The sequence below is a fragment of the Homo sapiens genome, chromosome 10 (genome assembly GCF_000001405.40).
Source record: "Homo sapiens chromosome 10, GRCh38.p14 Primary Assembly".
NCBI lineage: Eukaryota > Metazoa > Chordata > Mammalia > Primates > Hominidae > Homo > Homo sapiens.
In genome coordinates, this window is record NC_000010.11 from 42247101 (window position 1) to 42263833 (window position 16733).

Below are 16733 nucleotides of genomic sequence, written 5' to 3' on the forward strand. Positions count from 1 at the left end.
GCACAAGGTAGTTTCAGTCAAATGGCTTCATTTCTGGAAGATTTCAGGGGGCAAAGGCTCAGCTCAGCACTCCTGAACTGCACTTTCTAACTTTGCAAGGCTGGTACCATACCTACAGATTTGTTGTCTGGCCCTTCAATGTTAAGCACTGAGGTGTTCCCAGTTCACTGGCAACAACACTCTGATGGGGTGTGCCAGCCAAAGTGCTTCATTGTAGTGATTGTAACAAGGTCCCCACTCACACATATGTGCCAGCAGCAGCAGCACACAGCAGGTATGCATGTGTTGGCAGGGGTGCAGTGCCAGCAGGAGTGGGATGGGGGTGTTCTGCATACTTGCACGTGCCAGCCGGGGCAATGGTGCTGTGGGGTGCACTCATGTGCTGCTGGAGACAGAGTGGCAGCATCTTCATGAGTTTTATGTTATCATTCTAGATCTTTAAAAATAATATTTTGGACTTCTAACAAATGTATTTGTGAACCCAGAGAAAAAAAGAGTATTATTTTGTGCATTTTTACTTAATCATACCCAAGAAAATTTTACTTTACAATTTGTTCTTTTCACTCAACAATAGTCTTGAGGTTTATCCATCTCAAGATAGATACACATGTAGTTAATTCCTTTTAATTGTATAAGATTACATTGTATGTCAACAGCAGATTTTATTTACAACGTTATAACAAAAATAACATTTTATTTGTCTCATTTTACATAAATATAAGTTTGTCTAGAATAGTTACCTGGGTTACATGCATTTTTAGTTTGATGTATACTGCCAAAATCCTTTCGGTATGGCCACTTTAATTTGCCCTAATACCAACAGCTTATGAGCCTACCTGTTGTTCTTGAAAATCCTTGCAAATCCTTGATATTATTAAATTTTATAATGTTTTCCAGTCTGATAATTGAAAAAATGGCATATTTTTGTTATTTTAATTTGCATTTCTGTGATTATTCACAAGCTTGAATATCTTTTATATATGTGTTGTCCTTCAGCTTTTCCTTATCTGTAACTAGCCTGTTCATATCCTTTGTCCATTTTTTTGTTGAGTTGGTCTTCTTTATTAATTATATCTGTTATATGCATTTGTAAATTATATGTATTGCAAATATCAGTAGATATTTAATTTTGTTTGTGATGATTTTTTTTCACTCTAAGAAGTGTATTTTGTTATTTTCAACAGACAGAATTGCCAATACACAACACTGTTCACTTGACTTTGAAAATGAAAAAGAGAAAAAGAGGAAGAAAGAGCAGAATTGCTTTTGAAGTAGTACTTTATTATAGTACTTTTGAAGTTACTTTTGAAGTGCTACTTTAATATAATTGAATGTATCAAAATCTCTTTTTATGTCTAATGCCTTTGTATGTATCATTCAAAAAGTCCTTTTTACCTCATGATCACAAATATATTATTCTACATCTTTATTTTGTTGTTCAGAGTCTTGCTGTCACCCAGGCTGTAGTGCAGTGGCATGATCTCAGCTCACTGCAACCTCCACCTCCCAGGTTCAAGTGATTCTCCTGCCTCAACCTCCCAAGTAGCTGGGACTACAGGAATGCACCACTGCACCCAGCTATTGGTTTCGCCATGTTGGCCAGGCTGGTCTCAGATTCCTGATCTGTCCACCTCAGCCTCCCAAAGTGCTGGGATTACAGGTGTGAGCCATCATGCCTAGCCCACTACATTTTCTTATTACTACTTTTCCTTTTGAGCTTTTAACATTTATTATGTGTAAGAATCTATCTATATTCCTTTCCACATAAATAGTTATCTCAACACCATTTGTGAAAGATTTCTTTCTTTCTCCCACTGATTTAAAATACCAGTTGTATGATGTAACAAATCCCATAGATTTGTTTCCACACTTTGTATTCTCTTTTCTTCCAATTTATTTTGTCTATTTATATGTCACTATTATTCAGTTTTAACTATTTTACCTTTACAAAAACAGTATCTTGTTTTCTTAAGTTTACTTGATCTTTCATTCTAAGATCTTATTCTTCCAAATGAATTTTATAATCAGCTTGTCAAGCTCAGTAAAAATCCCTGCAAAGATTTTGATTGGCGTATCTCTGATTAATTCATTTGGGGGAGAGATTACATCTTTCTATTATTGAGGCTTTGGCCGGGCGTGGTGGCTCACACCTATAATCCCAGCACTTTGGGAGGCCAAGGCAGGCATATCACTTGAGGTCAGGAGTTCAAGACCAGCCTGGCCAAAATGGTGAAACACCGTATCTACTAAAAACACGAAAACTAGCCAGGCGTGGTGTTGGGTGATGGTAAAATTGGGGCTTTTTAGTTCACACTTGTGAAATGTCTCTCTAAGTATTCAGGTATTATCTTAATTACTATATTATTAGATTCACAATTTTTATAAAAGTATAGACTGTCTTCACAGTTTTGTTCTTAGATACTTTGTTTTTTTAATTGATGTTGTGGATTAAATTCTCTTTGATCACTTATTCCTGGGGAAGCCAGCTGCCATGTCCTGAGGCAGCCCTGTGGAGAAAACCCCGTTGGAAAAAAACTGAAGCCTGCAATGGCTACATGAGTAAACTTGGAAGCAGATCTTCTCCACCCCACCCTACCTCATGGGAAATCTTAAGTCGAGGCATACAGCTAAGCCATGCCCAGATTCCTGACCCACAGAAGTCATAAGACAATAAATATTTGTTGTTTTAAGCTGCTATGTTTGGGGATGACTTGTTAAGCAAAATGAGAAAAATAATACAACAGGTGATTACAATGTGCAGCAGAGTTCAGGAACCACTAAACTAGACCAGTATGTGGTCTTAGAGAAGTCTAGTCTCTTCTTGAGCCCACAGGGAAATCTGTAGCATAAACTGCACCATAGAGTTGTACAGCCAGAAGCAAATCTCACATCAGTCCGTCATTGGCAGATCTGTCTGGAGGGAAAGTAGAGGGGTGCACAACCTCCCTAGTATTCCCAGGTAGGTGCTTGTCAGCAGGACAAGGGTTCTAGAAACCTGCAGATATTAGCAGCCAACAAGCAGCACTGGGAGATGTGTTCATTGACCTGGTAAATGGATTCTGGCAGGAGCACCAAAAGCATTTCTACACAGGATATACTTCACGCTTTATAAAGTAAATGTAGAAGAGATGAGGTGAAATTCTGGATAAGATATGCCAATAGAAGGTATTCTGAGCAGGAGCCTCCCCATTCCTCATGGGTGTCATCAACCACTCCAGAAATGTTCTCATTTGCCTTTGTAACTTAGGTGGCCACACTTGTTTTTTTTGGGCAGACAACTCTGTTCCTTCCTTCCTTACTTACTTATTTACTCAAGAGGTAGGAAATGTGTGGAAGGTAGATTTGTCTGATCATTCTTACAGTGGTAATCCAAATAATCAACTATTTGGTTTCCCCAGAGGTCTCTCCTGCTCCCAGCGTCTGTCATTTCAGGGCTTGGACCACTTTTAGAAGCACATGTATCTTTTGAGGCAATCTTATTTACACACATTTTTGTTTATGGTTTCCTTTTTTCAATCCTAAATTGTCTGTCTCTTATCTTTCTGGCATATGCTTAGTTTCTTGTCCATTGATGATTCACCTTTTGCTTTCTTGTTAGGTTATGAATTTTTCTATTAACTTTACATCTTCATTTCAAAGGATTTAGGAATAGAGGGAGAGGCTGCAACCTGTGCTCAGCCCAACATTTTAAACCACGTCTGTATAAAATTTTAGCTAGCAGTAAACAATGCATGAAAAGTTTTATCACCATTAAATTGCATTCACTCAAATTTGAAATTCTTCTAAACAATGTTTGTTACAAATTTATTATAAACTACTTGTACTTATAAAACACTACTTGATTAAAAAGATGCTTTTAAATTAATTTTCATTCTTTCTTTCAGTTTTGTTTTAGGTGCTGTCTCTCCTGTTGTTGTTGTCCTTTACACGATGGTGTTGCAAGAAAATGGATATGGTGTTGAGGAAGACATTCCAACATTACTAATGGCTGCTAGCAGTATGGATGACATTCTGGCTATCACTGGATTCAATACATGCTTGAGCATAGTCTTCTCCTCGGGTAAACAAGAAAATATAACAACCACCAGATCATTCATGACCTTTTTTGTGAGTTCTTTAAACAGGGTTTCTGGCTTTGCTTCTTCATGTATTAACCAAGACTGTTCAATTTAACATCTTTTTAATCTCCATAGAAAGCTCATTCCAGACCAAGGAAGATATTTCAGTGGCTTAAGATACAACTACTTAACACACATGATCTCACTTTAATAATCATGTGACAATTAATTTGATAAACCATATTATTACTATTTAACTGCTTCTGTTGCTTTTGAATTTTATCAGTTCTCATTGGAAAAAATTAAACAGCAATATTATTTGTACTACTAATATTTTAATAGGCATTTTTGAAATGTGCCTTTTTGGCCATCCTAATAAACAACTGGTTGCTCTATTATAAGACAACATAAACATACAGAGCTGGGACAGCCATATGCCTTTTTGGTAGTGTTAGGACAAGATCCTGCACCAGTTCTGATTCCCAAGGTGATATCTGGTCTTGAATATCACTACAGAAATTGTGAAACTAAACATTTCCACATTTAATAATGCTTTAATTATCTGCAATGTTTGAGTCTTCTGTATTATTGAAATGCTAAACTATTTTTAAGTTGAAAAGTAATATATATACTTTTATAGTTTCTCTTAAAATAAGAAAATATAAATAAATCAGAAAAAGAGGAAAAGTTAAAAATAAAATCTGCAATAGTCACATCCAGAAGAAAAGAATCATTTCCTTCTGAACCTTTTGATATAAATCCACCCATATTCCCTTCCCTTCCCTTTTTCCCTTCTTCCCTTCCCTTCCCTTCCCCTCTCCTCCCCCTTCCCTTCCCTTACCCCTCTCTCTCTGTCAAATATTCTTATAAAAATCAGTGAATATTGACCAATATGTTCTTTTATTTTTTTTTTTTTTTGAGGCGGAGTCTTGCTCTGTCACCCAGGTTGGAGTGCAGTGGCACAATCTCGGCTCACTGCATGCTCTGCCTCCCGGGTTCATGCCATTCTCCTGCCTCAACCTCCCAAGTAGTTGGGACTACAGGCGCCCGCCACCGCGCCTGGCTAATTTTTTTTTGTATTTTTAGTAGAGCCAGCGTTTCACCGTGTTAGCCAGGAAGGTCTTGATCTCCTGACCTCGTGATCCGCCTGCCTCGGCCTCCCAAAGTGCTGGGATTACAGGCGTGAGCCATCGCACCCGGCCTAATATGTTCTTATAACCTGAATTGTTTTACACTTAACTGTATATCACAAACATGTTTCTTTTCAGTAAATGTATTTGTATATCATTTTTAATAGTTGTTTAGCTTAATGAAAGAGTATTCAATGCGCTGCATCATGATTACTTATCCTGTTCAAAATTAAAGTTAACTCCAATATTTACTATTAAAATAATACTTAGTTGTGCTGCTATAAAAATATATTTTTAAATTAAAAAATTGGCCGGGCATGGTGGCTCACACCTATAATCCCAGCACTTTGGGAGGCCAAGAAGGGTGGATCACTTGAGGTCAGGAGTTCAAGACCAGCCTGGCCAACGAACATGGTGAAACCCCGTCTCCACTAAAAATACAAAACTTAGCCGGGCATGGTGGTGGGCATCTGTAATCCCAGCTACTCAGGAGGCTGAAGCAGAAGAATAACTTGAACCCAGGAGGCGGAGGCTGTAGTGAGCTATCCAGCCTGGGCAACAGAGCGAGACTCTGTCTCAAAAAAATTTTTTTAATTAAAAAAATAATACTTAGTAGAACATATAGGGAAATATTTGTACCTAATCTTCATATTTTCTTAAGCTTAAAAGTGTAATTGTTGATCTAAAAGGTATATACATTTATGAGTGTTCTGAAACATATTGCCACAATATCATGTCCTACCAGGGTACATAAACTTGTCATTTCCTCTCACCTCTCTTCAAAACTTGGTATTACTAGCCTTTTTCATCTTTGCTAATTTGATAGGTGAAGGAGGGATCTCTATAAATGAAGTACTTTGAATACTAGTGTTGTTAAATATCCATGTTTATTAGTCATTGGCATTTTGTAAATTGCTTTTCTTGAAAGTTTTTTGCCTATTTCTTTTAGGTGGGTTCACCTTTTGTTCTTTTTGATTTGTCAAGATTCTGCATTAAATTGAGAATGAAAACCTTTGTTTTATATACTTTAGTTTTTTCAATTTGTAATTTGGCTTTTAATTTTCTCACTCTTTTTACCATTCAGAAGTTAAAGTTTTTTATTGTCAATTGTGAAAATCTTTTCCTTCATGATTGGTATCTGTCATTCTTTCAAAAAATATTCTTATCAGTCATGTTTCAAAAAAATATTTCCAGGCTGGGCCCAATGGCTCACGCCTATAATCCCAACACTTTGGGAGGCCAAAGCGGGGGGATCACTTGAGGACATGAGTTCAAGACCAGCCTGGCCAACATAGCAAAGCTCCATCTCTACTAAAAATACAAAACGTTAGCTGGGTGTGGTGGCACAGGCCTGTAATCCCAGCTACTCAGGGGGCTGAGGCACAAGAATCACTTGAACCCAAGAAGCAGAGGTTGCAGTGAGCCAAGATCACACCACTGCACTCCAGCCTGGGTGACAGAGGGAGACTGTCTGAAAAAAAGAAAAAAAAAAATTCCTCTTCCTTTTGCCGGCTACTATGCCAAACACTGAGAATAAACAGTAGGCAACAACATTAGCTTTTATTGAATACTTACTTGGCTCTTGTTCTAAGTTCCATATATGTCACCACTCATTTACAGGTAAGGAAACTGAGAAAGATGTTAAGTAATTTTCTCCAGGACAGAGATCCAATAAGTAGGGGAGCCGAGATGCAAATCTGACAGTCTTTCACTCCATACCCACACATTTAACTCTTCTCTTCTCCACTGCCTCCCAACACAACAGAGAGACAAGATCAAATGGTGCATGTTCTCAAGGAGCTTGTATATTAAAGAAAAATTACAAATGGGATGAATATTACATTGTGAAGGTTAATATTCAGTAAGGTGTCAACTTGATTGGATTGAAGGATCCAAAGTATTGTTCCCGGTTGTTTCTGTGAGGGTGTTGTCAAAGGAGATTAACATTTATTTAGTGGACTGGGAAAGGCAGATCCACCCTCAATGTGGGTGGGCACCATACAATCAGCTGCCAGCATGGCTAGAATAAAGCAGGCAGAAGGAGGTTAGTAGAAGCTGACTTGCTGAGCCTTCTGCCCTCATCTTTCTCCCATGCTGGATGCTTCCTGCACTCAAATGTCAGACTCCAGGTTCTTTGGCTTTTGGACTCTTGGACTTACTCCAGTTGTTTTCCAGGGGCTCTCAGGCCTTCATCCAGAGACTCAAAGCTGGCCTGTCGGTTTCCCTACTTTTGAGGTGTTGGGACTCGGACTGAGCCAATATTAGATTCCTTGCTCCTCAACTTGCAGACGGCCTGTTGTAGGACTTCAATTGTGATGGTGTGAATCAATTCTCCTTAATAAACTCCCTTTCATATATATATATATATATATATATATATATATATATATATATATATATATATATATATATATCCTATTAGTTCTATCCCTCTAGAGAACCATGACTAATACAGATTCTGATACTGAGGTAATGGAATATTGCTATAAGATACCTGAGAATGTGGAAGTGACTTTGGAACTGTGTAATGTGCAGAGTTTGGAACAGTTGGGAGGACTCAGAAGAAGACCAGAAGATGTGGGAAAGTTTGGAACTGCCTAGAGACTTGTTGAATGGCTTTGACCAAACTGCTGATAGTGACTTGGACAGTGAAGTCCAGGCTGAGGAGGTCCGAGATGGAGATGAACAACTTGTTGGGAACTGAAATAAAGGTCACTCTTGCTATGCTTTAGCAAAGAGACTGGTGGCATTTTGCCCCTGCCCTACAGATTTATGGAACTTTGAAATTGAGAGAGATGACTGAGGACATCTGGTAGAAGAAACGTTTGTTGTTGTTGTTGTTGTTATACCTTAAGTTCTAGGGTACATATGCACAACGTGCAGGTTTGATACATAGGTATACATGTGCCATGTTGGTTTGCTGCACCCATCAACTCATCATTTACATTAGGTATTTCTCCTAATGCTCTCCCTCCCCCAGCCCTCCACCCCCCAACAAGCCCCAGTGTGTGATGTTCCCAGCCCTGTGTCCAAGTGATCTCATTGTTCAATTCCCATCTATAAGTGAGAACATGTGGTGTTTGGTTTTCTGTCCTTGTGATAGTTTTGCTGAGAATGATGGTTTCCAGCTTCATTTATCTCCCTGCAAAGGACATGAACTCATCCTTTTTTATGGCTGCATAGTATTCCATGGTGTATATGTGCCACATTTTCTTAATCCAGTCTATCATTGTTGGACATTTGGGTTGGTTCCAAGTGTTTGCTATTGTTAATAGTGCCGCAATAAACATACATGTGCATGTGTCTTTATAGTAGCATGATTTATAATCCTTTGGGTATATACCCAGTAATGGGATTGCTGGGTCAAATGGTAATTCTAGTTCTAGATCCTCGAGGAATCACCACAATGTCTTTCACAATGGTTGAACTAGTTTACACTCCCACCAACAGTGTAAAAGCGTTCCTATTTCTCCATATCCTCTCCAGCACCTGTTGTTTCCTGACTTTTTAATGAATGCCATTCTAACTGGGGTGAGATGGTATCTCATTGTGGTTTTGATTTGCATTTCTCTGATGACCAGTGATGGTGAGCTTTTTTTCTTGTGTCTGTTAGCTGCATAGATGTCTTCTTTGGAGAAGTGTCTATTCATATCTTTGCCCACTTTTTGATGGGGTTGTTTTTTTCTTGTAAATTTGTTTGAATTCTTTCTTTGTCAAATGGGTAGATTGCAATTTATCTCCCATTCTGTATGTTGCCTGGTTCACTCTGATGGCAGTTTCTTTTGCCGTGCAGAAGCTCTTTAGTTTAATTAGATCCCATTTGTCAATTTTGGCTTTCGTTGCCATTGCTTTTGGTGTTTTAGTCATGAAGTCCTTGCTCATGCCTATGGCCTGAATGGTATTGCCTAGGTTTTCTTCTAGGGTTTTTATGGTTTTAGGTCTAACATTTAAGTCTTTAATCCACCTTGAATTAATTTTTGTATAAGATGTAAGGAAGGGATCCAGTTTCAGCTTTCTACATATAGCTAGCCAGTTTTCCCAGCGTCATTTATTAAATAGGCAGTCCTTTCCCCATTTCTTGTTTTTGTCAGGTTTGTCAAAGATCAGATGGCTGTAGATGTGTGGTCTTATTTCTGAGGCCTCTGTTCTGTTCCATTGGTCTATATATCTGTTTTGGCACCAGTACCATGCTGTTTTGGTTACTGTAGCCTTGTAGTATAGTTTGAAGTCAGGTAGTGTGATGCCTCCAGATTTGTTCTTTTTGCTTAGGATTGTCTTGGCAATGCAGGCTCTTTTTTGGTTCCATATGAACTTTAAAGTAGTTTTTTCCAATTCTGTGAAGAAATTTATTAGTAGCTTGATGGGGATGGTATTGAATCTATAAATTACTTTGTGCCGTATGTCCATTTTCATGATATTGATTCTTCCTATCCATGAGCGTGGAATATTCTTCCATTTGTTTGTGTCCTCTTTTAATTCGTTGAGCAGTGGTTTGTAGTTCTCCTTGAAGAGGTCCTTCACAACCCTTGTAAGTCAGATTCCTAGGTATTTTATTCTCTTTGTAGCAATTGTGAATGGGAGTTCACTCATGATTTGGCTCTCTGTCTATTAATGGTGTATAGGAATGCTTGTGATTTTTGCACATTAATTTTGTATCCTGAGAGTTTGCTGAAGTTGCTTATCAGCTTAAGGAGATTTTGGGCTGAGATGATGGGGTTTTCTAAATATACAATCATGTCATCTGCAAACAGGGACAATTTGACTTCATCTTTTCCTAACTGAATACCATTTATTTCTTTCTCCTGCCTGATTCCACTGGTCAGAACTTCCAACACCATGTTGAATAAGAGTGGTGAGAGAGGGCATCCTTGTCTTGTGCCGGTTTTCAAAAGGAATGCTTCCAGTTTTTGCCCATTCAGTATGATATTGGCTGTGGGTTTGTCATAAATAGCTCTTATTATTTTGAGATACGTCCCATCAGTATCTAGTTTATTGAGAGTTGTTAGCATGAAGGAGTGTTGAATTTTGTCAAAGGTCTTTTCTGCATCTCTTGAGATAATCATGTGGTTTTTGTCTTTGGTTCTGTTTATGTAATGGATTACGTTTATTGATTTGCATATGTTGAACCAGCCTTGCATCCCAGGGATGAAGCCCACTTGATCGTGGTGGATAAGCTTTTTGATGTGCTGCTGGATTTGGTTTGCCAATATTTTATTGAGGATTTTTGCATCGATGTTCATCAAGGATATTGGTCTAAAATTCTCTTTTTTTGTTGTGTCTCTGCCAGGCTTTGGTACCAGGATGATGTTGGCCTCATAAAATGAGTTAGGGAGGATTCCCTATTGTTCTTTTTTTTTGGATGAAAAAAGAACTGTTTAATTTTTTTGATGTTTTCAATGTTGATATGTTTTCCAAGAATTAGAGAAATATCTCTGGATGGTTATCTAAAATTTATAATTTTTCTACAGATATGGTATGTAGGAGAGTGTCATAGTTTTTCTATTATTATACTTTAAGTTCTAGGGTACATGTGCACAATGTGCTGGTTTGTTACATATGTATACATGTGTCATGTTGGTGTGCTGCACCCATTAACTAGTCATTTACATTAGATATATCTCCTAATGCTATCCCCCCTCCCCCCACTCCATGACAGGCCCCAGTGTGTGATGTTCCCCACCCTGTGTCCAAGTGTTCTCATTGTTCAATTCCCACCTATGAGTGAGAACATGTGGTGTTTAGTTTTCTGTCCTTGTGATAGTTTTCTCAGAATGATGGTTTCTAGCTTCATCCATGTCCTTACAAAGGACATGAACTCATCCTTTTTATGGCTGCATAGTATTCCATGGTGTATATGTGCCGCATTTTCTTAATCCAGTCTATCATTGATGGACATTTAGGTTGGTTCCAAGTCTTTGCTATTGTGAATAGTGCCGCAATAAACATACGTGTGCATGTGTCTTTATAGCAGCACGATTCACAATCCTTTGGGTATATGCCCAGTAATGGGATGGCTGGGTGAAATGGTATTTCTAGTTCTAGATCTTTGAGGAATTGCCACACTGTCTTCTACAATGATTGAACTAGTTTACACTCCCACCAACAGTGTAAAAGCCTTCCTATTTCTCCATATCCTCTCCAGCACATGTTGTTTCCTGACTTTTTAATGATCGCCATTCTAATTGGTGTGAGATGGTATCTCATTGTGGTTTTGATTTGCATTTCTCTGATGGCCAGTGATGATGAGCATTTTTCCAGTGTCTGTTGGCTTCATAGATGTCTTCTTTTGAGAAGTGTCTGTTCATACCCTTTGCCCACTTTTTGATGGGGTAGTTTGATTTTTTCATATAAATTTGTTTAAGTTCTTTGTAGATTCTGGATATTAGCCCTTTGTCAGATGGGTAGATTGTAAAAATTTTCTCCCATTCTGTAGGTTGTCTGTTCACTCTGATGGTAGTTTCTTTTGCTATGCAGAAGCTCTTGAATTTAATTGGATCTCATTTGTCAATTTTGGCTTTTGTTGCCATTGCTATTGGTGTTTTAGTCATGAATTCCTTGCCCATGCCTATGTCCTGAATGGTATTGTCTAGGTATTCTTCTAGGATTTTTATGGTTTTAGGTCTAACATTTAAGTCTTTAATCCATCTTGAATTAATTTTTATATAAGTTGTAAGGAAGGGATCTAGTTTCAGCTTTCCACATATGGCTAGCCAGTTCTCCCAGCACCATTTATTAAATAGGGAATCCTTTCCCCATTTCTTGTTTATGTCAGGTTTGTCAAAGATCAGATGGTTGTAGATGTGTGGTATTATTTCTGAGGGCTCTATTCTGTTCCATTGGTCTGTATCTCTGTTTTGGCACCAGTACCATGCTGTTTTGGTTACTGTAGCCTTGTAGTGTAGTTTGAAGTCAGGTAGTGTGATGCCTCCAGATTTGTTCTTTTTGCTTAGGATTGACTTGGCAATGCAGGTTCTTTTTTGGTTCCATATGAACTTTAAAGTTGTTTTTTCCAATTCTGTGAAGAAAGTCATTTGTAGCTTGATGGGGATGGCATTGAATCTATAAATTATCTTTGGCTGTATGGCCATTTTCACGATATTGATTCTTCCTATCCATGAGCATGGAATGTTCTTCCATTTGTTTGTGTCCTCTTTTATTTTGTTGAGCAGCGATTTGTAGTTCTCCTTGAAGAGGCCCTTCACGTCCCTTGTAAGTTGGATTCCTAGGTATTTTATTCTCTTTGAAGCAATTGTGAATGGAAGTTCACTCATGATTTGGCTCTCTGTTTGTCTGTTATTGGTGTATAGGAATGCTTGTGATTTTTGCACATTGATTTTGTATCCAGAGACTTTGCTGAAGTTGCTTATCAGCTTAAGGAGATTTTGAGCTGAGATGATGGGGTTTTGTGAATATACAGTCATGTCATCTTCAGACAGGGACAATTTGACTTCCTCTTTTCCTAACTGAATACCCTTTATTTCATTCTCTTGCCTGATTTCCCTGGCCAGAACTTCCAAGACTATTTTGAATAGGAGTGGTGAGAGAGAGAATCGTTGTCTTGTGCCAGGTTTCAAAGGGAATGCTTCCAGTTATTGTCCATTCAGTATGATATTGGCTGTGTGTTTGTCATAAATAGCTCTCATTATTTTGAGATACGTCCCATCAGTACCTCGTTTATTGAGAGTTCTTAGCATGAAGGGCTGTTGAATTTTGTCAAAGGTCTTTTCTGCATCTATTAAGATAATCATGTGGTTTTTGTCTTTGGTTCTGTTTATAGGATGTATTACGTTTATTGATTTGCGTATGTTGAACCAGTCTTGCATCCTAGGGATGCCAACTTGATCATGGTGGATAAGCTTTTTGATGTGCTGCTGGATTCAGTTTGTTAGTATCTTATTGAGGATATTTGCATCAATGTTCATCAGGGATATTGGTCTAAAATTCTCTTTTTTGTTGTTGGTGTGTCTCTGTCAGGCTTTGGTATCAGGATGATGTTGGCCTCATTAAATGAATTAGGGAGGATTCTATCTTTTTCTATTGATTGGAAAAGTTTCAGAAAGACTGGTACCAGCTCCTCTTTGTACCTCTGGTAGAACTCAGCTGTGAATCCATCTGGTCCTGGACTTTTTTTTGGTTGGTAGGCTATTAATTATTGCCTCAAGTTCAGAGCCTGTTATTGGTCTATTCAGATATTCAACTTCTTCCTGGTTTAGTCTTGCAAGGGTGTATGTGTCCCAGAATTTATCCATTTCTTCTAGATGTTCAAGTTTATTTGTGTATAGGTGTTTATAGTATTCTCTGATGGTAGTTTTTACTTCCCTGGGCTCAGTGGTGATATCCCCTTTATCATTTTTATTGCATCTATTTGATTCCTCTCTCTTTCCTTCTTTATTAGTCTTGCTAGCAGTCTATCAATTTTGTTGATCTTTTCAAAAAACCAGCTCCTGGATTCATTGCTTTTTTGAAGGGATTTTGTGTCTCTGTCTCCTTCAGCTCTGCTCTGATCTTATTTTTTCCTTCTGCCAGCTTTTGAATGTGTTTGCTCTTGCTTCTCTAGTTCTTTTAATTGTCATGTTAGGGGGTCAATTTTAGATCTTTCCTGCTTTCTCTTCTGGGCATTTAGTGCTATCAATTTCCCCCTACACACTGCTTTAAATGTGTCCCAGAGATTCTGGTACATTGTGTCTTTGTTTTCATTGGTTTCAAAGAACATCTTTATTTCTGCCTTCATTTTGTTATTTACCCAGTAGTCATTCAGGAGCAAATTGTTCAGTTTCCATGTAGTTGTTCAGTTTTGAGTGAGCTTCTTAATCCTAAGTTCGAATTTGATTGCACTGTGGTCTGAGAGACAGTTTGTTGTGATTTCTGTTCTTTTACATTTGGTGAGGAGTGCTTTACTTCCAATTATGTGGTCAAATTTAGAATAAGTGATATGTGGTGCTGAGAATAATGTATACTCTGTTGATTTGAGGTGGAGATTTCTGTGGATGTCTATTGGGTCTGTTTGTTGCAGAGCTGAGTTCAGGTCCTGGATATCTTTGTTAACCTTCTGCCTTGTTGATCTTTCTAATATTGACAGTTCGGTGTTAAAGTCTCCCATTATTATTGTGTGGGAGTCTAAGTCTCTTTGTAGGTCTCTAAGGACTTGCTTTATGAATCTGGGTGCTCTTGTATTGGGTGCATATATATTTAGGATAGTTAGCTCTTCTTGTTGCATTGATCCCTTTACCATTATGTAATGGCCTTTGTCTCCATTGATCTTTGTTGGTTTAAAGTCTGTTTTATCAGAGACAAGGATTGCAACCCCTGCCTTTTTTTGTTTTCCATTTTCTTGGTAGATCTTCCTCCATCCCTTTATGTTGAACCTATGTGTGAATTTGCGCATGAGATGGGTCTCCTGAATACAGCACACTGATGGGTCTTGACTCTTTATCCAATTTGCCAGTCTGTGTCCTTTAATTGGGGCATTTAGCCCATTTATGTTTACAGTTAATATTGTAATGTGTGAATTTGATCCTGTCATTATGATATTCGCTGTTATTTGCCCGTTAATTGATGCAGTTTCTTCCTAGCATTGATGTTCTCTATAACTTGGCATGTTTTTGCACTGGCTGGTACCGGGTGTTTCTTTCCATGTTTAGTGCTTCCTTCAGGAGCTCTTGTAAGGCAGGCCTGGTGGTGACAAAATCTCTCAGCATTTGCTTGTCAGTAAAGAATTTTATTTTCTCCTTCACTTATGAAGCTTAGTTTGGCTGGATATGAAACTCTGGATTGAAAATTATTTTCTTTAAGAATGTTGAATATTGGCCCCCACTCTCTTCTGGATTGTAGGGTTTCTGCCAAGAGATCAGCTGTTAGTCTGATGGGCTTCCCTTTGTGGCTAACCTGACCTTTCTCTCTGGCTGCCCTTAACACTTTTTCCTACACTTCAACCTTGGTGAATCTGACAATTATGTGTCTTGGAATCGCTCTTCTCAGAGAGTATCTTTGTGTTGTTCTCTGTATTTCCTGAAGTTGAATGTTGGCCTGCCTTGCTAGGTTGGGGAAGTTCTCCTGGATAATATCCTGCAGACTGTTTTCCAACTTGGTTCCATTCTCCTTATCACTTTCCGGTACACCAATCAAATATAGATTTGGTCTTTTCACATGGTCCCATATTTCTTGGAGGCTTTCTTCATTTCTTTTTACTCTTGTTTCTCTAACCTTGTCTTCTCACTTTATTTCATTTATTTGATCTTCAATCACTGATACCCTTTCTTCCACTTGATTGAATCGGCTATTGAAGCTTGTGCATGTGTCACAAAGTTCTCGTGCCATGGTTTTCAGCTCCATTGGGTCACTTAAGGTCTTCTCTACACTGTTTATTCTTGTAAGCCATTCGTCTAATCTTTTTTCAAGGTTTTTAGCTTCCTTGCAATGGGTTCCAACATCCTCCTTTAGCTCGGAGAAGTTTGTTATTACCAACCTTCTGAAGCCTACTTCTGTCAACTCGTCAAAGTCATTCTACGTCCAGCTTTGTTCCATTGCTGACAAGGAGCTGTGATCCTTTGGAGGAGAAGGGGTGCTCTGATTTTTAGAATTTTCAGCTTTTCTGCTCTGGTTTATCCCCATCCTTTTGGTTTTATCTACCTTTGGTCTTTGATATTGTTGATCTACAGATGGGGTTTTGGTTAGATGATCTTTTGTTAATGTTGACACTATTCCTTTCTGTTTTTTAGTTTTCCTTCTAACAGTCAGGACCCTCAGCTGCAGATCTGTTGGAGTTTGCTGGAGTTCCACTCCAGACACTGTTTGCCTGGGTATCACCAGTGGAGGCTGCAGAACAGCAAATATTGCAGAACAGCAAATATTGCTGCCTGATCCTTCCTCTGGAAGCTTTGTCCAAGAGGGGCAGCCGCCTATATGAGGTGTCTGTCAGCCCCTACTGGGAGGTGTGTCCCAGTTAGGCTACACAGGGGTCAGGGACCCACTTGAGGAGGCAGTCTGTCCATTCTCAGAACTCAAACGCCATGCTGGGAAAACCACTGCTCTCTTCAGAGCTGTCAGACAGGGACGTTTAAGTCTGCAGAAGTTGCTGCCTTTTGTTCAGCTATCCCTGCCCACAGACGTGGAGTCTAGAGGCAATGGGCCTTGTTGAGCTGCGGTGGGCTCCACCGAGTTCAAGCTTCCCTGGCCACTTTGTTTACCTACTTAAGCCTCAGCAATGATGGACGCCCCTCCCCCAGCCAGGCTGCCACCTCACAGATGGATTTCAGACTGTTGTGCTAGCAGTGAGCAAGGCTCCATGGGTGTGGGACCCACTGAGCCAGGCACAGGAGAGAATCACCTTGTCTGCTAGTTGCTAAGACCTTGGGAAAAGTGCAGTATTTGGGCGGGAGTGCCCTGTTTTTCCAGGTAGTCTGTCACAGCTTCCCTTGGCTAGGAAAGGGAAATCCCCCAACCCCTTGTGCTTCCCGGGTGAGGCGACACCCCACCCTGCTTCAGCTCACCCTCTGTGGGCCTGCACCCACTCTCCAACCAGTCCCAATGAGATGAACCAGGTACC

The 16733-nt window shown here is 39.1% G+C and overlaps 1 long non-coding RNA gene across 3 annotated transcripts in view; it reads left to right on the top strand.

The window, feature by feature from the left end:
- LOC101929373 (uncharacterized) overlaps positions 1 to 16733 on the top strand; it is a 34331-nt gene that overhangs the window by 4589 nt on the left and 13009 nt on the right. For 2 of the 3 annotated variants that reach the window (XR_001747436.2, XR_001747434.2), the window contains exon 2: positions 3885 to 4060. This is a non-coding gene — a long non-coding RNA (uncharacterized LOC101929373). Of the gene's footprint in view, positions 1 to 3884; positions 4108 to 16733 lie in introns of all 3 variants that reach the window. The other variant, XR_001747433.2, reaches the window with a different exon arrangement.